The sequence below is a fragment of the Homo sapiens genome, chromosome 3, assembly GCF_000001405.40.
Source record: "Homo sapiens chromosome 3, GRCh38.p14 Primary Assembly".
Classification (NCBI taxonomy): Eukaryota; Metazoa; Chordata; class Mammalia; order Primates; family Hominidae; genus Homo; species Homo sapiens.
The window spans coordinates 47,176,202-47,200,749 of record NC_000003.12 but is presented as its reverse complement, the minus strand read 5'-3'; the positions used below and the strand labels follow the sequence as shown (position 1 = coordinate 47,200,749).

The 24,548-nt window shown below is 44.7% G+C and overlaps 1 long non-coding RNA gene across 1 annotated transcript in view, besides 2 other annotated features; it reads right to left on the bottom strand.

Moving 5' to 3' along the window:
• KIF9-AS1 (KIF9 antisense RNA 1) overlaps window positions 1-24,548 on the bottom strand; it is a 79,747-nt gene that overhangs the window by 43,367 nt on the left and 11,832 nt on the right. The window lies entirely within an intron of this gene.
• Window positions 2,814-3,314: an enhancer, noted in NCBI's record as "H3K4me1 hESC enhancer chr3:47238926-47239426 (GRCh37/hg19 assembly coordinates)". NCBI's record gives its function as "activates a minimal SCP1, AML or CMV promoter by ChIP-STARR-seq in naive H9 embryonic stem cells {active_cell/tissue: H9 hESC(naive)}" and the evidence as "EXISTENCE:reporter gene assay evidence [ECO:0000049][PMID:30033119]".
• Window positions 12,885-13,085: a silencer, noted in NCBI's record as "peak4632 fragment used in MPRA reporter construct". NCBI's record gives its function as "represses an SCP1 promoter by STARR-seq MPRAs in K562 erythroleukemia cells {active_cell/tissue: K562}" and the evidence as "EXISTENCE:reporter gene assay evidence [ECO:0000049][PMID:32103011]".

Genomic DNA, 24,548 nt, shown 5'->3' with positions numbered 1-24,548 from the left:
GGAGTTTCACTATGTTGCCCAGGCTGGTCTTGAACTGCTGGGGTCAAGTGAGCTGACTGCCTCAGCCTCCCAAAGTGCTGGAATTACAAGCATGAGCCACTGTGCCCAGCCTGATTTTGGTAGAAACTCACCTGTAGCCCAGCAGGGCATCCAAGTTCGGGAACACAGTGGATTTGTTGCCCGTACATGCACAAAGGCTGGAAGCTGCTTTTGGTCTAGGGAGGTCACTCTGAAATCCTGCCACCTATGTCATTTTGCCAACCAAAATTAAGGTTGCTGAGGCAGAAATAATTTGATAAAGGTTATTGGAAGCCAAATGTGAGGATAAACCTAGGAAGATAAATAAACAAAGTTGGACGTGTTCTAAACTGTTATAAATTGGAATGGGTTTTTTTGTTTTATTTTGAAACAGTCTCTATCGCTGAGGCTGGAGTGCAGTGGTGCGATCTTGGCTCACTGCAACCTCCACCTCCTGGATTCAAGTGATTCTCCTGCCTCAGCCTCCTGAGTAGCTGGGATTATAGGCTCCCACCACCACGCCAGGCTAATTGTTTTGTATTCTTAGTAGAGACGGGGTTTCACCATGTTGGCCAGGCTAGTCTCAAACTCCTGACCTCAAGTGATCCACCTGCCTTGGCCTCCCAAAGTGCTAGGATTACAGAGGTGAGCCACCACGCCTGGCCTGGAATTTTTTTTTTTTTTTTTTTTTGAGAAGGAATTTCCCTCTGTCGCTCAGGCTGGAGTGCAGTGCAGTGGCGCCATCTCGGCTCACTGCAAGCTCCACCTCCCGGGTTCACGCCATTCTCTTGCCTCAGCCTCCCGAGTAGCTAGGACTACAGGCGCAAGCCAGACACTACGCCTGGCTAATTTTTTTTGTATTTTCAGTAGAGACGGGGTTTCGCTGTGTTAGCCAGGATGGTCTTGATATCCTGACCTCGTGATCCGCCCGCCTAGGCCTCCCAAAGTGCCTGGCCTGGAATGTTTTTATAAGAAATTTTAGGAGAAGCGATGGGGACTCCATATCAGAGCCCCCTCTCTCTCTCTTTTTTTTTTTTGAGACGGAGTTTCGCTCTTGTCACTCAGGCTGGAGTGCAATGGCACTATCTCGGCTCACTGCAGCCTCTGCCTCCCGGGTTCAAGTGATTGTCCTCCCTCAGCCTCCCGAGTAGTTGAGATTACAAGCATGCACCACCACGCCCAGCTAATTTTTTTTTTTTTTTTTTAAGAGGGAGTCTTTCTGTGTGCCTAGGCTGGAGTGCAGTGGCGCCATCTCGGCTCACTGCAAGCTCCGCCTCCCCGGTTCACGCTATCTCCTGCCTCAGCCTCCCGAATGGCTGGGACTACAGGCGCCCGCCACCACGCCCGGCTAATTTTTTTGTATTTTTAGTAGAGATGAAGTTTCACTGTATTAGCCAGGATGGTGTCAATCTCCTGACCTTGTGATTCGCCCGCCTCGGCCTCCCAAAGTTCTGGGATTACAGGCACTGTAAAATTGCCCAGCAATTTTTTTATATTATTAGTAGACACGGGGTTTCACCGTGTTGGCCGGGCTAGTCTCGAACTCCTGACCTCAGGTGATCCACCTGCCTTGGCCTCCCAAAGTGCTGGGATTATAGGCGTGAGCCAACGCGCCCAGCATTTTTTTTTTTTTTTTAGAGACAGGGTCTTGCTCTGTCACCCAGGCTTGAGTGCAGTGGAAAATCATAGCTTGCTCTAACCTCACGGTTCTGGGATCAAGCGATCCACCTGCCTCAGCCTCCCAAGTAGTGGGAGTACCGGTGTATGCCACCACGCCTGGCTAATTTTTTTTTTTTTCGAGATGGAGTTTCACTCTTGTTACCCAGGCTGGAGTGCAATGGCGCTATCTCAGCTCACCGCAACCTTCGCCTCCCAGGTTCAAGCAATTCTCCTGCCTCAGCCTGCCGAGTAGCTGGAATTACAGGCATGCACCACCACGCCCAGCTAATTTTGTATTTTTAGTAGAGACGGGGTTCTTCCATGTTGAGGCTCGTCTCGAACTCCTGACCTCAGATGATCCGCCTGCTTCAGCCTCCCAAAGTGCTGGGATTACAGGCGTGAGCCACTGCGCCCGGCCAGGCTAATTATTTTTGTACAGACAGGGCCTCACTATGTTGCCTAGGCACAGCATTATTTTTAATTCTTCTCTAAAAATTCTACGCTTATCCCAAAGCCTTGGGATTACAGGCGTGAACCACCACACCAGGCAGAGTTATCTTTGTCTTTTTCCACTAGAGGGTATAATATAGAGGGTCAATCATTGGCTACAGATTACAACATATAGGCTAAAATGTTTTACATATAAGATAATCAGTAAAACTTCATGATTTAGAAAGAAATTAGTGTCTTTTTCAGTCTCAGTAGATACATATTAATTAGTATGTCAACAGTTTGAGGAACTCACATTAAGGCTGAGGAACTCAGGTTAAGAGAGAAGGTTCTTGGCCAGGCGTGGTGGCTCAAGCCTTTAATCCGAGCACTTTGGGAGGCTGAGGTGGGCAGATCACCTGAGGTCAGGAGTTCAAGACCAGCCTGACCAACATGGAGAAACCCCATCTCTACTAAAAATACAAAAAATTAGCTGGACGTGGTGGCACATGCCTGTAATCCCAGCTACTTGGGAGGCTGAGGCAGGAGAATTGCTTGAACCCGGGAGGCGGAGGTTGTGGTGAGCTGAGATGACGCCATTGTACTCCAGCCTGGGCAACAAGAGCAAAACTCTGCCTCAAAAAAAAAAAAAAAGGTAATTTTTTCTTTTTTTTTTTTTTTGAAATGGAGTCTCAGTCTGTCGCCCAGGCTGGAGTGCAGTGGCGCGATCTCAGCTCACCGCAAGATCAGGCGTGAGCCACCGTGCCCTGCCTGTTTTGTTTTGTCTTTTTGAGACGGGGTCTCGCTCTGTTATGCCCCAGGCTGGAGGAGTGCAGTGGCTCACTGCAGCCTTGAACTCCCCCGGCTCAAGCAATCCTCCCACTTCAGCCTACCAAGTAGCTGGGACTACAGATGGCACCACCACAACCACAAAATTTTTGAATTTTGTGTAGAGATGGGGTTTCACCGTGTTGCCCAGGCTGGTCTTAAACTCCTGGGCTTAAGTGATCTGCCTGCCTCAGCCTCTCAGAGTGCTGGGATTACAGGCATGCCAAGATTTTTTATTAAGGGACAGAATGTAAGCCAAGAATCCTAAGACCTTTTCTAGGCAGGTTAATTTGGAAGCCTGCCAAATGTGACCTGTAGATTATCAGTAGTTTTGTTTGTTTGTTTTTGTTTTTTTAGAGACAGGGCCTTGCTCTATCACCCAGGCTGGAATACAGTGGCACGACTGATCATAGCTCCCTGCAGTCTTGATCTCCTGGGCTCAGCGATCCTACTGTCACAGCCTCCTGAATAGCTAGGATTACAGCCACTTGCCATCACACTTGGCTAATTTATCTTTTTATTTTTGTAGAGGTGAGGTCTCACTAGGTTACCCAGACTGGAGTAATAAATTTTGAAATCAGGAATGTGAGTGCTGGTCAGTTGATTTTTGATTAAGGTGCTAAATCGGCTGGGTGCAGTGGCTCATGCCTGTAATCCCAGCACTTTGGGAGGCTGAGGTGGGCGGATCACTTGAGGTCAGGGGTTCAAGACCAGCCTGGCCAACATGGTGAAACCCCATCTCTACTAAAAATACAATAATTAGCCGGGCATGGTGGCGGGTGCCTGTAATCCCAGCTACTCGGGAGGCTGAGGCGAAGAATTGCTTGAACCCAGGAGGCGGAGGTTGCAGTGAGCCGAGATCGCACCACTACACTCTAGCCTGGGCGACAAGGTGACACTCTGTCTCAAATGAACAAACAAACAAAACAAAACAAAACCACTTCTATAAGAAAACATGGGAGAAAATATCTTGTGACTTTGAGTTGGGCAAAGAGTTCTTAGATACGACATCAAAAACATCATCCGCTGGGCGCGGTGGCTCATGCCTGTAATCCTAGCACTTCAGGAGGCTGAAGCAGCAGATTGCCTGAGCTCAGGAGTTCGAGACCAGCTTGGGCAACATAGTGAGATTTTTGCATTTTTAGTAGAGACTGGGTTTCACCATGTTGGCCAAGTTGGTCTCAAACTCCTTACCTCATGATCCACCTGCCTCAGCCTCCCAAAGTGCTGGGATTGGCGAGGGGGGCCAACGCGCCTGGCCAAAAAATGATTTTAAAATTAGCTAGGTGGCCGGGCGCGATGTCTCACGCCTGTAATCCCAGCACTTTGGGACGCCAAGGCGGGCGGATCACAAGGTCAAGAGATCGAAACCATCCTGGCCAAAATGGTGAAACCCTGTCTCTACTAAAAAAACAAAAAATTAGCTGGGCGTGGTAGTGCGCGCCTGTAGTCCCAACTACTCGGGAGGCTGAGGCAGGAGAATCGCTTGAACCCGGGAGGCAGAGGTTGCAGTGAGCCGAGATCGCACCATTGCACTCCAGCCTGGGCAAGAGAGCCAGACTCGGTTTCAAAAAAAAAAAGTCAAACTCATGGTAAGAAAAAAAAAATTAACATATGGTCCAGTAATTCCTCTCCCAGGTATATATACAAATAATCAAAAGTACGGATTCTAACAGATATTTGTACACCCATGTTCATAGCAGCATTATTCACAATAGCCAAACTTTTTTTTCACAGAATATAATTTATTTTCATGTTTATACAAGAATTATTTTGCATTAATATCAGTTATCTACAACTTACAGAGTTGTAAAGTAGCTCAAAGGCAATGATAGAGTGATAGAGTTATATTTAGATTACCTGTAAGAGTGTGCACTAAAAATGCATAGCTTTTTATTAGAGACACCAAGTCCTCTTTTCTGCCTATTCCAAAGTTCCTTACATTGTCACATTCTGGTTGATAGGTTACCTCCATCTCTGATTACTTACTGTATATTTGTGAATCTTTTCGCCACAAGCTACAGATTGAGCATCTCTATCTTGTACTATTTTTGTCTCCCCATTTTTCCAAATATAGTATTAGAAGAAAAACTGGTGCTTCTTAACTATAATACTTAGTGTAATTAACTTTAAGAACTCAAATATGCAACAACAGATAAATAGGTAAACAAAATGTAATATATACATACAATGGAGTACTTGTTCAGCCTTAAAAAGTAACGAAATTCTGATACATGCTACTAAATGGACGAAACTTGAAAACATTATGCTAAGTGAAATAAGCCAGACAAAAAGAACAAATACTGTATGAGTAGTCAGACAGAAGTAGAATGGTGTTTGCCAAGGGTAGAGAAAGGAGGGAATGAGGAGTTATCATGTAATGAATACAAAGTTCTTGTTTGGGATGAGGAAAATGTTCTGGAAATGGATAGTGGTTATGGCTGCATAGCAATGTGAATGTACTTAATACTACTAAATTGTATACTTTATGGCAAAAAGAGAACATCAGAAATGTACGAAAAGGAGGATACTGCACGTGTAACTAAGCTCACTCAGCAGTTAAATGCCTGTAGTCCACAAGCCTTACATCAGATGTGATTCAACCTCCTATTGTGCCTAAATTAGAAATGATTTCTTGGCTGGGCTTGGTGGCTCATGCCTGTAATCCAACCAATTTGGGAGGCCAAAGCAGGTGGATGACTTGAGGTCAAGAGTTTGAGACCAGCTGGGCCAACATGGTGAAACCCTGTCTCTACTTAAAATACAAAAATTAGGTGGGCATAGTGGTGAACACCTGTAATCCCAGCTACTAGGGAGGCTGAGGCAGAAGAATTGCTTGAATCCGGGAGGCGGAGGTTGCAGTGAGCAGAGATCGTGCCACTGCACTCCAGCCTGGGCAACAGAGCAAGACTCCATCTCAAAAAAAAAAAAAAAAAAAGAAAGGAAAAGAAAAGAAAAAAGCTGTTGGCTGATGTGTTTGAAGGAGAAAAGGGAGAAGCTGATTATATTTTATTTAATTCCTTGATATTATCTGATAGCATTCAATAGTGGAAAGAACATAGCTGTGGAATAAAAAAGCCCTGGATTCAGGCCAGGCATGGTGGCTCACACTAGCATTTTGGGAGGCTGAGTCAAGAGGACTGTTGAGGCCAGGAGTTTGCGACCACTCTGGCCAACATAGCAAGACCCCACCTCTATTATTTTTAAAAAAGCCCCAGATTCAAGCAGTTTTAACACAGAGAGACTGAATATGCAAATGGACAATAGCAAGACCGTATATAAAAATAGGACTCTGATACATAATCTGCAGCCACCAGCCCAAGAAACCAACCCATTATCTACAGTAACTAGCCTACTATCTATAAGTCAGACTTGAAGGAAATCAGACCCCTATCTTTAGCAACCAGTCCAGGAAGCCAAACAACAACCCTGTAACAATCAGCCCCAAACAGCCAGGACTTGAATAATAACAGATAGCTTACGTAATTTTTGTCCTTGCTTCCAATTTAGGACCAATGAAAGAAAGCCAAATATCCATATAGGATGTCCCACTTCTGATTAGACCACTCATGGGTTCTAATTGAGTCACACCTGAAGTCTTCCCTTTTTTCCACCATAAAGCTTTCCCACTCCTTTGCCTGACTTTGAGTCTCTGCCAAAACATGTGATGATGTCTGACTCCTTTGCTATAGCAAGCTCTGATGAAATCGCTTTTGCCTGTTCTTATTTGGTTGGTCTTCATTTATTTCCACACCACATATAAGCTACATGACTCTATATTGGGAAAAATGCCTCCTCTACCTCATAGGGCCTAGCAAAATGCTAAGAACAGTTAAGCTCCACATCCCATTCTCTGACATCATCACAAGCCAGCCTGTAAGGCCACTTAACTACACAACACAAGAAACCAAGATCTATGAGGTTGTGTTCCTCTCAGGGTATCTTAATTACTGAAACCCAAAAGGTTTAATTTACCCTAGCACAGTTTTTAAGTGTTGTAATGACAGTAACACAGGCTAACAGCCAGAGTTAATTGTCTATCACCCTTCTTTGGTGGTTCAGTATTTAAGGTTTCGTGATTTTTTTTTGCATCAAAAATTCAGTCAAAGCTGAATTTAATAATTTTAAGTCTCAATCTGAGATTGCAAATTTCTCGGCGATTGTACAAAATGTCCCCTTGGGCCAGTTTTAAATTAGGCCCATGCAACAAAAATGCACATTTCAGGCCGGGCGCGGTGGCTCACACCTGTAATCCCAGCACTTTGGGAGGCTGAGGCGGGCGGATCACGAGGCCAGGAGATCGAAACCATCCTGGCTAACACAGTGAAACCCTGTCTCTACTAAAAATACAAAAAATTAGCCGGGCGTGGTGGCGGGTGCCTGTAGTCCTAGCTACTTGGGAGGCTGAGGCAGGAGAATGGTGTGAACCCGGGAAGCGGAGCTTGCAGTGAGCCAAGATAGCGCCACTGCACTCCAGCCTGGGCAACAGAGTGAGACTCCGTTTCAAAAAAAAAAAATGCACATTTCATTTGAAAGCTTTTGTGCAGGTGTGCCCAAGCAGTCAAATCCAATTAAACAGGGCCAAATGCCTTAATAGTTGAAGACTTTCTTTTTCATCAGGATGTCTCTAGAGAGATTCCAAGTAAATAAAATAGTGAAATCCCAAGACACCTTTTGTTTACACAAGCTAAGAAAGATAGGTATTAAGTAATTTGGAAGAATGATCAAGGGTGATTGGATTCATTACAGCACTGATTCTATGGGGGAGGTGCCAACCATATTGCCCTTGAGGAAAAGTAGTACCTTGACTTCAGCAAAGAGCCACAGGGTTCTTGGTTGAGGGGAGAACAGGGGGGGCAATGATTCTGAGGTGTAAGTGTGTGAAATGCATGGGGGGAAAGTATAGAAGGCATTGGGACATATAAAGGCATACTGATGAGTGGTGAGGGGCAGAGGGTTCAAATGCTTGGCTGAAGAAATATAAAGGTGTTAAGAAAAATTATTTCAGCCAGGGCATGGTGGCTCACGCCTGTAATCCCAGCACTTTGGGAGGCCGAGGCGGGTGGATCACCTGAGGTAGGGAGTTCAAGACCAGCCTGACCAACATGGAGAACGCCCATCTCTACTAAAAATACAAAATAGCCGGGCGTGGTGGCGCATGCCTGTAATCCCAACTACTCAGGAGGCTGAGGCAGGAGAATCACTTGAACCCAGGAGGTGGAGGTTGTAGTGAGCCGAGAGTGTGTCATTGCACTTCAGCCTGGGCAACGAGAGTGAAACTCCGTCTCAAAGAAAAAAAAAAAGAAAAATTATTTCAAACGTGGGAACAAGATAAAAGGTAGGTGGCATGTACTTTCAATGTCATACTGGAGATTGAGAGACATGATAGTCTCATCCAAGAATAATTTAGTTATCCAGGCTAAGGGAATGTGCTTTTGTTTGTTTTACTTGTTTTTTTTTTCTTTGAGACAGTCTTGCTCTGTCACCCATGTTGGAGTGCAGTGGTGCCATCTCGGCTCACTGCAACCTCCACCTCCCAGATTCAAGCAATTATCATGCCTCAGCCTCTCAAGAAGCTGGGATTACAGGCATGCGCCACCACACCTGGCTAATTTTTGTATTGTTAGCAGAGACGGGCTTTCACCATGTTGGCCAGGCTGGTCTTGAACTCCTGACCTCAGGTGATCTACCTGCCTTGGCCTCCCAAAATGTTGGGATTACAGGCATGAGCCACTGCACCCCACCTGACTTTGCTATTTATTATCCATTAACTTAGACTCTGAAGTTGTATGCTACATGTTATCCAATAGAAAAGATAGCCCTAAAGGTTAACAGTTTACTGCCCTATGTATTTAAACATAAACTGATTTAGACATAAACCAGTTTTATATCTAATCTAGTACTTTAACACCTCTTCCCTGCTAATAACATTACTTCTTCTTCTTCTTCTTTTATTTTTTAAGAGATAGAGTCTGGCTCTGTTGCCTAAGCTGAAGTGCAGTGGTGCCATCTTGGCTCCCTGCGGCCTTTACCTCCTGGGCTCAAGCAATCCTCCCACCTCAGACTCCTGAGTAGCTGGGACTACAGTCACCCACCACCATGCCCAGATAATTTTTTGTATTTTTTGTAGAGATGGGGTTTTGCCATGTTACCCAGGCTAGTCTCAAACTGAACTCAAGTGATCCTCTCGCCTCAGCCTCCCAAAGTCCTAGGATTACAGGTGTGAACCATCACATCTGGCCATTCCTTCTTAAATATCTGTGAATACTTAGTTCTTCAACATGCTCTTTGAACCAGCTTTACTTACCATCTTATCGGTTCCCTTATAATAAGTTAATAAATACTTGACACATGTTCATACTATATTTGTATGAGTCATGTTTTCAACTTTTTGAAAATTATACCTTGACAGGGTTCAAACTGTGATGATCCAAACTAACCAAGGTTAAGGGTACTTTGTGAAAAAAAGCAGTCCTCACTCCACCAAGGAGCCCAACTCTAAATTGTCATTGGATTCCTCCTCTTTCTTCATGGATTTGTAAAGGACTAAATTTTAAGAACCTGGGAAAATGTATTCCAGGCTGGGCACGGTGGCTCACACCTGTAATCCCAGCACTTTGGGAGGCCGAGATGGGTGGATCACTTGAGGTCAGGAGTTTGAGACCAGCCTGGCCAACATGGTGAAACCCTGTCTCTACTAAAAATACAAAAATTAGCCAGGCGTGGTGGTGCATGCCTGTAGTCCCAGCTACCTGGGAGGCTGAGGCAGAAGAATGGCTTGAGTCCTGGAGGTGGAGGTTGCAGTGAGCTGAGATCGCACCATTGGACTCCAGCCTGGGCGACAGAGTGAGACTCCATCTCAAAAAAAAAAAAAAAAAGAAAGAAAAGAAAATGTATTCCAAGGGAGAGAGGAGCTCTTTCCCAAGGACCACTGTGATATTACACCATAATACAAACCTCAGGCCAGGCGTGGTGGCTCATGCCTATAATACCAGCACTTTGGGAGGCCGAGGCGGGAGATCACTTGAAGTCAGCAGTTCGAGACTAGCCTGGCCAACATGGCAAAACCCTGTCTCTACTAACAATACAAAACTTAGCAGGGTGTGGTGGCAGGCACCTGTAATCCCAGCTATTCGGGAGGCTGAGGCAGGAGAATTGCTTGAACCTGGGAGCCAGAGGTTGCAGTGAGTCGAGATTGTGCCACTGCACTCCAGCCTGGGTGACAGAGCGAGATTCCATCCCCCCCACCAAAAAAAATCCCAAAAAACAAACTCCAGGTTTGTACTCACAGACATGGCAGGTAAGTGAGGCATCCTCACATGAGCATGTGTTTAGGAATGATTTCAGGCAGTCTTTCATCTTAGACCCTGCTTTGGTTAACTGCTGTTCCATTATTATAAGTCCACGTTAAGATATTCAGATGCTTGCCGGGCACGGTGGCTCGCGCCTGTAATCCCAGTACTTTGGGAGGCCAAGGCGGGCGGATCACTTGAGGTCAGGAGTTCAAGACCAGCCTGACCAACATGGAGAAACCCCGTCTCTACTAAAAATACAAAAAATTGGCCGAGGGTGGTGGCGCATGCCTGTAATCCCAGCTACTCGGGAGACTGAGGCAGGAGAATTGCTTGAACCTGGGAGGTGGAGGTTGCAGTGAGCCGAGATCACGCCTTTGTATTCCAGCCTGGGCAACGGGAATAAAACGACGTCTCAAAAAAAAAAAAAAAAAAAAAAAAAAAAAAAATATATATATATATATATATATATATATATTCAGATGCTTATAATCTAGCGCATAGAGCTGATTGGCTACTGCTTGGGTTCTCTGTAGTACAGGAAGGAACACCCCTCTTGTCTTCTAGTATGGTCCGCAAAGTTACTAACAAACTCACCAATGGAGCTAGTAATGTTCACTGCCTGAAAAGACCCTTTCCTGCCTCCTTCTTTAAATTTTTTTTTAAAATTTCTGCCTCCTTTTTTGTCAAATAACTGTTCATCATTTAGTGCTCAGCTTATATATCACCACCTTTCTCAACTCTCCCAGGCAGAGAGGTACTTCGTTTTCCTTTAGCACTCTGTTGCCATCTTTACAGTACTTTACAGCATTTTTAATACAGTAGTGCTCCTTATTTGTTCATTTTATTTATTTATTTATTTTTAGATGGAGTCTCACTCTGTTGCCCAGGCTGGAGTGCAGTGGCACAGTCTCAGCTCACTGCAACCTCCGCCTCCTGGGTTCAAGCGATTCTCCTGCCTCAGCCTCCCGAGTAGCTGGGATTATAGGTGCCTGCCACCATGCCTGGCTTTTTGTATTTTTAGTAGATACGTGGTTTCACCATCTTGGTCAGGCTGGTCTTGAACTCCTGACCTTGTGATCCACCCGCCTTGGCCTCCCAAAGTGCTGGGATTATAGGCGTGAGCCACCATGCCCGGCCTTATTTTATTTTTTTACAGATAGGATCTGGCTCCATTGCCCAGGCTGGAGTGCATTGGTGTCTTGCTGTGTCACCCAGGCTGGTTTCAAACTCCTGGGTTCAAGTAATCTTCCTCCCCTCAGCCTCCCAAAGTGCTGGGACTTCAGGCATGAGCCACCATGCCCAGCCCTCCTTATCTGTTTAGAAGTGTTTCTCCAGTTAGTTTGGGAGCTTCCCAAAGGCAGGAATTATCTCGTTTATCTCTGTATCCTCTATTTATTTTTTCCCTTTTTTTTTTTTTGAGACAGAGTCTCACTCTGTCACCCAGGCTGGAGGGAGTGGTGTGATCTCGGCTCAATGCAACCTCCGCCTCCCAGACTCAAGCAATTCTCCTGCCTCAGCCTCCTGAGTAGCTGGAATTACAGGTGCATGCCACCACGCCCAGCTAATTTTTGTATTTTTAGTAGAGACGGGGTTTCACCATGTTTGCCAGGCCGGTCTTGAACTCCTGACCTCGTGATCTACCCACCTCGGCCTCCTAAAGTGCTAGGATTACAGGCATGAGCCACAGTGCCTGGCCTGTATGCTCTATTTCTATCCATAGTGTTTAGCATGTAAAAAGCATTCAATAAATTGCTGTCAAAGGAACATTTTTTTCAAAAAAGTTCTATTGGCAGATGCTATTACTGGGAACCAAAAAATAAAAATAAAGGATGTTGATAGGGAGAAGCAGAAATCTACTTTACTAATTTAACCTACTTTACTAATCTAATTTACTACTCCAAGCTTGGGGTTTATTTCAACTTGTTTAGGTTTCTCATGGTGGGGATGAAATGTTGTTGGGTTAAATGAAACAGTAGAAAAATATAACATTTGTATAAGTCAGTAAAAATTAGCCTTTTGCAGTAAGATCTGAACACCAATTCTCTAGATAGAAACCATCTTCTCAATTTTTTTTTTTTTTTTTAAAAGCCCGAGGTGGGCCGGGAGCAGTGGCTCACTCCTATAATCCCAGCACTTTGGGAGGTGAGGCGGGCGGCTCACGAGGTCAGGAGTTCGAGACTAGCCTGGCCAATATGGTGAAACCCCGTCTCTACTAAAAATTCAAAAAAATTAGCTGGGTGTGGTGGCACATGCCTGTAGTCCCAGCTACTTGGGAGGCTGAGGCAAAAGAATCACTTGAACCCAGGAGGTGGAGGTTGCAGTGAGCTGAGATCGCACCACTCCACTCCCGCCTGGGCGACAAAGAGAGACTCCATCTCAGGAAAAAAAAAAAAAAAAAAAGCTCAGGTGATCACGAGGGTGGATCACAAGGTCAGGAGTTCAAGACCAGCCTGGCCTACATGGTAAAAACCCGTCTCTACTAAAAATACAAAAATTAGCTGGGGCTGGTGGTGGGTGCCTGTAATCTCAGCTACTCAGGAGGTTGAGGCAGGAGAATTGCTTGAACCCAGGAGGCGGAGGATGCAGTGAGCTGGTATCATGCCACTACACTACAGCCTGGGTGACAGAACAACACTCCATCTCAAAAAAAAAAAAAAAAAGCATAGGAAGTGATTCTATAATACCTCCTTGTAGCGTACATGAGTCTTCTTTCTGAGAGAGATATAGTTGTGAGTGCTATCTGAAGAGGCAGAAATGAGACAGTGTCAGAGGGATGAAATGACATAAAAATGTCTATACACGTGGGGGAATTGGCTATGCTGAATTACATTCATAGGGTAGAGTTAAATATAATAGTATGAACTAAATTTACAGAAGCTGTGCATGTTACAATGGGGTTAAAAGATGGAGTTTGTGAATATTAGACAAACAATTTCTAGTTAAAATAATATACCATTTTTTTATCTCAAGCACTAATAATTTTATATTTGCTGTTTGACACTAATAATCTTGTATTAGCTAAAATTTGGCACAATAGATCCAGGTATTTACAGCACAGGGAATATACAAAATATTAGCAATATATATTCTGTATTTTGATGGGCTTGACTTCAGAAGTTGTAACTAGAAAATTCTACATTTCAAACAGATATATTTTATCTGTGAATTCAGAAAAGGTTCTTTTCCTAAGAGGAATCCATACCCTAATAGTCCATGGGAGGGCTTGAAGGAGACACCATTTACTAAAACTGTAAGGAATGAATTGGTGAGGGGACACCAAGCATCACTAAGTCAAACAGTGGCTTTTCTCTGTAGGTCAGGGTTGAAGTTAGAAGAAGCCATTAATCTGGGCTCTCTAATAGCAATGTGAATAACAATAATTGTGCACACCCCCATAGATATCAGATAGCTTAACCATTAAAAGCCAGGTGGATATAATCATAATGACTGGCAAAGTCAGCATGGTAGCCAAGGGAACTTGCACAGATGGTTAAAAAGATAATTTTTATTTTATTTTTTTTTGAGACAGAGTCTCACTCTGTTGCCCAGGCTCCTGTGTAATGGTGCCATCTTGGCTCACTGAGACCTCCACCTCCCAGGTTCAAGCGATTCTCCTGCCTCAGCCTCTTGAGTAGCTGGGATTACAGGCGTGCACCAACATGCCCAGCTAATTTTTTTGTATTTTTAGTAGAGATGGGGTTTTGCAATGTTGGCCAGGCTGGTCTCCAACTCCTGGCCTCAAGTTGTCCACCTGCCTTGGCCTCCTAAAGTGCTGGGATTACAGGCATGAGCCACCACGCCCAGCCAAAATATACAACTATCTTAAAGACATCAGGGATAGTGTACTCCTTATATCCCCATTTAATTAACCAATACGACCCCCAAAAAACATCAGATGGATCCTGGAGAAAGACATTTGGACTACTGCAAACTCAGTCAAGTAGTAGTCCCAAATGCAGCTGCTGTGCCAGATGTGGTATACTGGCCTAGGCAGATTATCACAGCCTCAGGAAGATGATATATGGCGATTATTCTGCTGAGTGTGTTGTTTTCCTGCCCCTGCCAGATATGAGAATCAGAAACAGTTCACATTCACTTGGAATGGACAACAGTATACATTTCAGTGTTGCCCAAAGTTATCTTACCTCTCCTGCCTCTGTCAATCTATAAACTGAAGAAAAATAAATAATCTGGCTATCCTTCAGAATACTATATTCAGAATACTATAGGTCTGTTATATTGATGGCATTGTACTAAACTGATCAAATAAGTAATAAGTGGCTAGCATGATATAGTCCTTTGGAAGATTCATGTTACAATGAATAGGAGATAAACCCTATGGCAATTCAGAGGCCCACCACATCAGTACATTTTTTTTTTTTTTTTAGATGGAGTCTCGCTCTGTCACCCAGGCTGGAGTGCAGTGGCATGATCTCGGCTCACTGCAACCTCCACCTCCTGGGTTCAAGCGATTCTACTGCCTCAGCCTCCTGAGTAGCTGGGATTACAGGCGTGCACCACCACGCCTGGCTAATTTTTGTATTTTTAGTAGAGATGGGGTTTCACCATGTTGGTCAGGCTGGTCTCAAACTCCTGACCTCGTGATTCACCAGCCTTGGCCTCCCAAAGTGCTAGGATTACAGGTGTGAGCCACTGGGCCCAACCCAGTAAAATTTTTAGGGTCCCAGTAATCTGGGACATTTCCTCCAAAATAAAAAACAAATTATTGCATCTTCCACTTTCTACCACCAAGAAGAAAGCACCAGACATTGTCATAAACACTCAATATGCTCACTCTTTTTAACTTCAGCTACTCTAATAGGTGTGTAGTGGTATTTGTTCTGATTTAAATTTGCATTTCCTCTATGACTAATGATGTTGAGTATCTTTTTATTTGCCATCAGTGCATCTTTGGTGAAGTTACTGTTCAAATCTTTTACCCATTGCAATGGACTGTTTGTGTCCCCTCAAAATTCATATGTTGACATCCTAATCCCCAAAGTGATAGTATTAGGAAGTAGGGCCTTTGGGAGGTATTTGGGTCATGAGGGTGGAGCCCTTGTGAATGGGATTAGTACCCTTCCTTTAAAAAGGAACCCTTATAAAAGACTACACATTGGGTGCAGTGTATACAGTCTGGGTGACGGGTGCACCAAAATCTCACAAATCACCACTAAAGAACTTACTCATGTAATCAAACACCACCTGTTTCCCAATAAACTATGGAAATACATTTTTTTAAGTTAGAAAATAAATAAAAAATAAAAAGGAACCCCAAGCCAGGTGCAGTGGCTCACACCTAGAATCCTGGCACTTTGGGAGGTTGAAGTGGGAGGACTGCTGGAGGCTGCAGTTCAAGACCAGCCTGGGCAACATAGTAAGACCCCATCTCTATTATTAAAAAAAAAGAGGCCAGGCGTGGTGGCTCACGCCTGTAATCCCAGCACTTTGGGAGGCTGAGGTGGGCGGATTACGAGGTCAGGAGATCAAGATCATCCTGGCTAGCACAGTGAAACCCCATCTCTACTAAAAAATAGAAACAATTAGCCAGGCATGGTGGCAGGCGCCTGTAGTCCCAACTACTTGGGAGGCTGAGGCAGGAGAATGGCGTGAACCCAGGAGGCAGAGATTGCAGTGAGCCAAGATCATGCCACTGCACTCCAGCCTGGGCAACAGAGCGAGACTCCATCTCAAAAAAAAAAAAAAAGAAAAGAAAAGAAAGGGGGCTGGGCTCAGTGGCTTATGCCTGTAATCCCAGCACTTTGGGAGGCTGAGGCAAGTGGATCACCTGAGGTCAGGAGTTCAAGACCAGCCTGACCAACATGGTGAAACCCCCTCTCTACCAAAAATACAAAAATTAGCCGGGCGTGGTGGTATGCACCTGTAATCCCAGCTACTTGGGAGGCTGAGGCAGGAGGATCGCTTGAACCTGGGAGGCGGAGTTTGCAGTCAGCCGAGATCGTGCCACTGCACTCCAGCCTGGGTGACAGAGCGAGAGTCCATCTCAAAAAAAATAATAATAAGAAGAAAGGGATCCCAGAGAGTGTCTGTTTCTGCCATATGAGATACAGTAAGAACATAGTAGTCTGCAATCAGAAGAGGGCCCTCACCAGAACATGAACATGCTGGCACCAAAATCTCAGACTTCCTAGCCTCCATAGCTATGAGAAATAAATTTCTGTTGTTTAAGCCACCCAGTCTATGGTAATTTGTCATAGCAGCCTGAACCAACTAAGAGTTGTGTGAACATATTTGTAATAGCTGCTTGGAAGTATTTGTATGCTAGGCCAGGTGTGGGGGCTCCCGCCTATAATCCCTGCACTTTGGGAGGCTGAGGTGGGTGGATCACTTGAGGCCAGGAGTTTAAGACCAGCTTGGCCAATATGGCGAAACCCCATTTCTGCTAAAAATACAAAAATTAGCTGGGTGTGGTGGCGCATACCTGTAATCCCAGCTACCTGGGGGGCTGAGGCACGAGATTCATTTGAACACAGGAGGTGGAGGTTGCAGTGAGCCGAGATTGTGCCACTGCACTGCAGCCCAGGAAACAGTGCAAGATGCTCTCAAAAAAAAATAAATAAATAAATAAAAGGCCCGGCGCGGTGGCTCACGCCTGTAATCCCAGCACTTTGGGAGGCTGAGGTGGGCGGATCTCAAGGTCAGGGGTTCAAGAACAGCCTGACCAACATGGTGAAACCCCCGTCTCTACTAAAAATACCAAAATTAGCCGGATGTGATGGTGTGCACCTGTAATCCCAGCTACTCAGGAGGCTGAGGCAGAATTGCTTGAACCCAGGAGGCGGAGGTTGGCAGTGAGCTGAGATTGCACCTTTGCACTCCAGCCTAGGCGACAGAGTGAGACTCCGTCTCAAAAACAAACAAACAAAAAAAAGTATTTGTTTGTCTACTAAAGTCAACATCTGGGCTCTTCAAAGGCAGTTTCTATTACCTGTTTTGTTTTCTCCTGTGTATGGATCACACTTTCATGTTTTTTGCTCATCTTGTAACTTCGTGTTACAAAGTGGACATTTTAAATAATATATTGTTAGGCCGGGCATGGTGGCTCACGCCTGTAATCCCAGCACTTTGGGAGGCCGAGGCGGGCAGATCACGAGGTCAGGAGTTTGAGACCAGCCTGGCCAACATGGTGAAACCCCATCTCTACTAAAAATACAAAAATTAGCCAGACAGAGGTGGGAGTTGTAGCTCATGTGAGTCAGGGAACCAAGTTCCAGCCCAACTTGGTCTTCTTCATACCCTGTTCCATGATTATGACTTGATAAAAAAAAAGAAAAATATAAATCTTTTTTTTTTTTTTTTTTTTTTGACAGAGGAGGCTGAGGCAGGAGAATTGCTTAAACCTGGGAGGTGGAGGTTGCAGTGAGCCAAGATCATCCCACTGCACTAAGCCTAGGTGACAGAGCAAGACTCTGTCTCGGAAAATAATAATAATAATAACAATAATAATATATTGTAGCAAGTCCATGTCCTGATCTCTATTCCCACTCTCTCCCACCCACCACCCTCCCCTCTAGACTTTTGCTGTTGTTTCCTTGTTTTCTTCTGTTAACCAAAAGGAAAAAAACTGAGGAAAAATTAACTAAGTACAGAGTCTGTTTGGGCCAAGTTAATGGACTACAACCCAGGAGCACAGATTCAAGTTGCCCTGAATATACGCTCTGATTAACAGCAGTTATAAGTGGGTTTTTAAAGGAATATAGAAGAGGCAATTTCTAAGTTGCTTATCAAGAATTTATGTTAGGGCCGGTCATGGTGGCTCACCTCTGTAATCTCAGCACTTTTGGAGGCTAAGGTGGACAGATTACCTGAGGTCAGGAGTTTGAGACCAGCCTGGCCAACATGGTGAAACCCTGTCTTTACCAAAAATACAATTACTGGGGCATGGTAGCATGTGCCTGTAATCCCAGCTACTCAGGAGGCTGAGGCAGAAGAATTGCTTGAACCCGGGAGGCGGAGGTTGCAGTGAGCCGAGAATGCAACACTGTACTCCAACCTGGGCAACAGGATGAGACTCTTGTCTCAAAAAAAATAAAAAAAGAATTTATGTTAAAGTAATATAAGCTATTGATTGGCTGTACATTGTTCTTTATATCACAAATTCCAGGAACAGGAAGATAATGGCTGAGGCTGGGCATAGTGGCTCACACCTGTATTTTCAGCACTTTGGGAGGCTGAGGCAGGTGGATCACTTGAGCCCAGGAGTTGAGACTAGCCTGGGCAACATGGGGATACCCCATCTCTACAAAAAATACAAAAATTAGGGCCGGGCACGGTGGCTCACACCTGTAACTCCAGCACCTGAGGTCAGGAGTTTGAGACCAGCCAGTCCAACATGGTGAAACCCTGTCTCTACTAAAAATACAAAAATTAGCCAGGCGTGGTGGCATGCACCTGTGGTCCCAGCTACTCAGGAGGCTGAGGCAGGAGAATTGCTTGAACCCAGGAGGTGGAGGCTGCAGTGAGCTAAGATGGTGTCACTGCACTCCAGCCTGGGCAACAGACTGAGACTCCGTCTCAGAAAAACAAAAGGAAAATTTGCCAGGTGTAGTAGTGCATGCCTGTAGTCTCAGCTACTCAGGAGGCTGAGGCAGGAGGATTGCTTGAGTCCAGGAGGTCAAGGCTGCAGTGAGCTGTGATTGCACAACTGCACTCCAGCCTAGGTGACAGAGTGAGACCCTGTCAAAAGAAAGATAAAAAAAGATAATGGGTGAGGCAGTCAGGAACCTACAGGGAAGAAAAGAAATAACAGGCCAGGCACGGTGGCTCACATCTGTAATTCCGGCACTTTGGGAGGCTGAGGTGGGAAGATCACGAGGTCAGGAGATTGAGACCATCCTGGCCAACATGGTGAAACCCCGTCTCTACTAAAATACAAATAATTAGCCGGGTGTGGTGGTGCACACCTGTAGTCCCAGCTACTAAAGAGGCTGAGTCAGGGCAATTGCTTGAACCTGGGAGGTGGAGGTTGCAGTGAGCCGAGATCACGCCACTGCACTCCAGCCTGGCAACAGAGCAAGACTCTGTCTCAAAAAAAAAAAAAAAAAAAAAAGAAAGAAAGAAATAACAAAATGCCTTTAAACCATTGTCCCCAGGCATGAGTGCAGGAGTGTGTGGCTGAAGTCCCATATTCATGTGTTTTTTTTTTTTGTTTTTTTTTTTTTGAGACAGGATCTGTCTCTGTTGCTCAGGCTGGAGTGCAGTGGCGCGATGTTGGCTACTGCAACCTTTGCCTCCCCAGCTCAAGCAATCCTCCTACCTCGGCCTTCTAAGTAGCTGGGACTACAGGTGCATGCCACCATGCCTGGCTAATTTTTTTGTGTTTTTTTGTAGAGATAGAGTTTTGCCATATTGCCCAGGCTGGTCTTGAACTCCTGAGCTCAAGTGATCTGCCCACCTCAACATTCCAAAGTGCTAGGATTCCAGGTGTGAGCCATGGCGCCTGACCACTCATGTCTCTTTGTGCCTGATAAGTTTTGCATACCTCATGTACCTCAGACTGCTCTGATTTTTTTTCTCATTTCTCTCTTTTGATTGAAACCTTTCTCTTCTGAAAGCATTGATGTTCAACATTTTAGATGTATGTTTCTCCCATGTAGCTGGGAAGGCTCATTCCCAGGTAACCTTGTTCCATGTCAGAGGAAGAGAGGAGAGGTATTGTGGCTTATGAACTTAGTGATGTCTCAATGCTGAATTGATTAACAAAAAAAAGAGACAGAGCAATGGGACCTTGGTCAGGCCATCCGCTTACAAGGAAGCTGCAGAATATTGGATTCTTTCTAAGCATCTAACTATCATAATTCATTTTCTGTTGTTGACCTTAGTTATCTAAAAGTACAAAGCATAATCAGCTTAAGAATAAAAAATATGATGCAAATAAGGACAATTATTGACAAAACAACTTGAAATCCAGGTCTGAAAAGTGTTCTTATTTCTAAAAGTACCAGGCCAGGTGCAGTGGCTTATGCCTATAATTCCAGAACTTTGGGAGGCCAACGCAGGAGGATCACTTGAGGTCAGGAGTTTGAGAATAGCCTGGGCGACATAGAAAGATCCTATCTCTATAAAATAAAAATAGGCCAGGCTCAGTGGCTCACGCCTGTAATCCCAGAATTTTGGGAGGGCGAGGCGGGCGGATCACGAAGTCAGGAGATCGAGACCATTTTGGCTAACGTGGTAAAATCCCGTCTCTACTAAAAATACAAAAACAAAATTAGCCAGGCATGGTGGCAGTCGCCTATAGTCCCAGCTACTCGGGAGGCTGAGGCCAGAGAATGGCATGAACCCAGGAGGCGGAGTTTGCAGTGAGCCAAGATTGCACCACTGCATTCCAGCCTGGGTGACAGCAAGACTCTATCTCAAAAAAATAAATAAATAAAAATAAAATAAAAAATTAGCCAGGTGAAGTGGCATCCACCTGCAGTCCGTTACTCATGGGGCTGAGGCAGGAGGATCACTCAAGCTCAGGAATTTAAGGCTACAGTGAGCTATAATCATGACACTGCATTACAGCCTGGGCAACAGAGCCAGACTCTATCTCTAAAAAAAATTTTTTTAAACAAATAAATGTAACCAAATAAATATTTCATCTATTCCTTGTACTAGTCTGAAAAATAAGGTATTGAAGATCTCTGCTGTTGAAGATGCCCACTGAGGCAGGGCTGCCTGATATGGTTCCTTCTAACATGTTGGAAAGAGTCCCCTATTTGATGTTTTTGTATTTAAAAAATCTCCAGGTTGGAGACTGTGATCTTTGATGGTCTTATATTCTGGGAGCTCACTGTTAAAATAATCCTTAGGCTGGGTGTGTGGCTCGCACCTGTAATCCCAGCATTTTGGGAGACCGAGGCAGGTGGATTACTTGAGGTCAGGAGTTTGAGACCAGCCTGGCCAATGGTGAAACTCTGTCTCTACTAAAAATACAAAAAATTAGCTGGGTGTGGTGGTGTGCGCCTGTAATCCCAGCTATTCAGGAGGCTGAGGCAGGTGAATCGCTTGAACCTGGGAGGTGCAGGTTGCAGTGAGCCAAGATCGCACTACTACATTCCAGCCTGGGTGACACAGCGACACTCCATCTGGAAAAAAAAAAAAGAAAAATCCTTCATTAATCCTTAATTTTAGTGAGAAGCTTACAAGCCCTTAGCAAAAACAAAGAATATCACCTTTAAGGAAAGCTGGTTCATAGGCTCCTTCATCCTAGGCACATGGACCTTCCCATTACTATTTCAAAGGGAGAAAGAAACCTGATGTTTTCCAAACCAGGTAGAATGTAAGTCAAGCAAATGGAAGAGCCTTAAGCCAGGGAAAGTTAAAAGTTTGCATAAGCTTTGCCAATTGATTCTTTTATTATCTGATTTGTGTTTTCCACCACTCTGGAAGACTAAGGGTGGTATGTACAATGGAAATGCTGATCCATCTTATTGATTGATTGATGGAGTTTTGCTCTTTCACACAGGCTGGAGTGCAGTGGCGCCATCTCAGCTCACTGCAACCCCTGCCTTCCAGTTTCAAGTGATTCTCCTGCCTCAGCCTCCCGAGTAGCTGGGATTACAGGTGCCCGCCACCACACCTGGCTAATTTTTGTATTTTTAGTATAGATGGGGTTTCACCATGTTGGCCAGGCTGGTCTCGAACTCCTGACCTCATGATCCGCCCGCCTCAGCTCCCTAAGGTGCTGGGATTACAGGTGTAAGCCACCGCGCCCAGCCAACCCATCCAATTTCAATCAGCTTTGATGACACAAGATAAGCTTTCTAGAGACTTTTATAATTTCTTACATTTTTTTCCCAATCTCTTTCTTTCCTCAACTTTCTATATCCATTCAGTTTTGTTTTGTTTTTTTTTTCCTGAGATGGAGTTTCGCTCTTGTTGCCCAGGCTGGAGTGCAATGACACGATCTGGGCTCACCGCAACCTCTGCCTCCCAGATTCAAACGACTCTCCTGCCTCAGCCTCCTGAGTAGCTGGGATTACAGGCATGCGCCACCACGCCTGGCTAATTTTGTATTTTTAGCAGAGACGGGGTTTCTCCATGTTGGTCAGGCTGGTCTCAAACTCCCGACCTCAGGTGATCCGCCTGCCTCAGCCTCTCGAAGTGCTGGGATTACAGGTGTGAGCCACTGCACCTGGCCTCCATTTAGTTTTATCTATCATTCTTTCTTATCCTTTCAACTTAAAATAATCTTTAGGAATCTCTAGACAAAAGTACTTTTCCTTTAAGAAAAACTACATTCTCATGCCTTCTTTATAATCTTCTTTACCAAAGACACATTTGGTTTTTAAATGCTGTGTACACAGAATTGTTTCTCTTATAGCTAGAAATTTTTTTTGTTTGTTTTTGAGACAGAGTCTTGCTCTCCCAGGCTGGAGTGCAGTGGCGCAATCTCTGCTTACTGCAGCCTCCACCTACTAGGTTCAAGCGATTCTCCTGCCTCAGCCTCCCAAGTAACTGGGATTATGGGATTACAGGCACCTGCCACCACTCCCAGCTAATTTTTTTATTTTAGTAGAGACGGGGTTTCACCATGTTGGCCAGGCTGGTCTTGAACTCCTGACCTCAGGTGATCCACCTGCCTCGGCCTCCCAAAGTGCTGGGATTACAGGCACGAGCCACCAGGCCCAGCCTAGTAGTTTTAATATATATATTTACTATAATTTTAACTTTTAGTAACCTAATTTCTAGTGAAAAACCTAGAAAGTAATTTTGAACTTTTTTGTCAATATTTGTAGATGAAAATTACTTCATAATTTTTTAAAGATGTTTCTTCCATTTTTATTAACAGATTGAAATATATTTAGCTTTGTTAAACCATAAAGACAACAAAGTATATAAGCTTAAGCTTAAAAGACTAAGTATCATTAATATTGATTAATATTTTATCCCAGAGCTTGGGCCACTAGCTGTAACCTGCCCTGCAGCTGGTAGGCCTAGGCAAGCCACTGTGCCTGGCCTGGTTACCTTTAGAAACACTTTTTTTTTTTTTTTTTTTTTTTGTGACAGGGTCTCGCTCTGTCACCCAGGCTGGAGTGCAGTGGCACAGTCTCGGCTCACTGCAGCCTCTGCCTCCCGGGTTCAAGCGATTATCCTGCCTTAGCCTCCTAAGAAGTAGCTGGGATTACAGGCATGCACCACCACACCTGGCTAATTTTTGTATTTTGAGTAGAGACAGGGTTTCACCATGTTGGCCAGGCTGGTCTTCAACTCCTGGTGTCAAGTGATCCACTCACCTCGGCCTCCCAAAATGTTGGGATCACAGGCGTGAGCCACGCCTGGCCAGAAACACTTTTCAGATACGGATTTCAGATTGTTTTGTTAATAATTGTCCTTATTTGCATAGTTTTTGCTTTTTGAGACAGGGTCTCACTCTGTTGCCCAGGCTGGAGGGCAGTGACACAATCTTGGCTCACTGCAACCTACACCTCCCAGGCTCAAGTGATCATCTGACCTCAGCTTCCCTAGTAGCTGGGGCTATAGGCGCATACTACCACACCCACCTGCCATTACACCTGGCTAATTTTTTATATTTTTTGTAGAGACAGGGTTTCTCCATGTTACCGAGCTGGTCTCCTGGACTCAAGCGATCTGCCCGCATCGGCCTCCCAAAGTGCTGGGATTATAGGCATGAGCCACTGTACCCAGGCCGTATTTTTTATTCTTAAATTGATTATGCTTTATATTTCTAGATGTCTAAAGTCAACAACAAAAAACTAAAAGATTAAATTGATATCTCAGCATTTTAACTTACTTAGAAATGACTCAGACACTTTATGATTATCTATTACATAATTTAACATAACATTACTTCAAGATACACAGTTCAAAGACATATGCATGCTATGGACATACATATGTCTTCAAAGGTCTCACCATGGTCACCTGTCCAGGTCCCAAAATATATATATATATTTTTGAGACAGAGTGTCACTGTGTTGCTCTGGCTGGAGTCCAGTGGCATGATCTTGGATCATTGCAAACTCCACCTCCCGGGTTCAAGTGATTCTCGTGCCTCAGCCTCCCAAGTAGCTGGGATCACAGGCATGTGCCACCACACCTGGCTAACTTCGGTATTTTTAGTAGAGGGGGGTTTCGCCATGCTGGCCAGGCTGGTCTCAAACTCCTGATCTCAAGCAATCCACCCACCTTGGCCTCCCAAAGTGCTGGGATTACAGGTGTGAACCACCACTCCTGGCCTGAACCACTCTCTTATGTGTCTCAGACTGCCTCTAATCACCAGGTAGCAGTAGGGTTCTCAAGTTATCAGGGTTACCAGTTCCTTATTTATGCCTTTCTGGATAAGTAAGT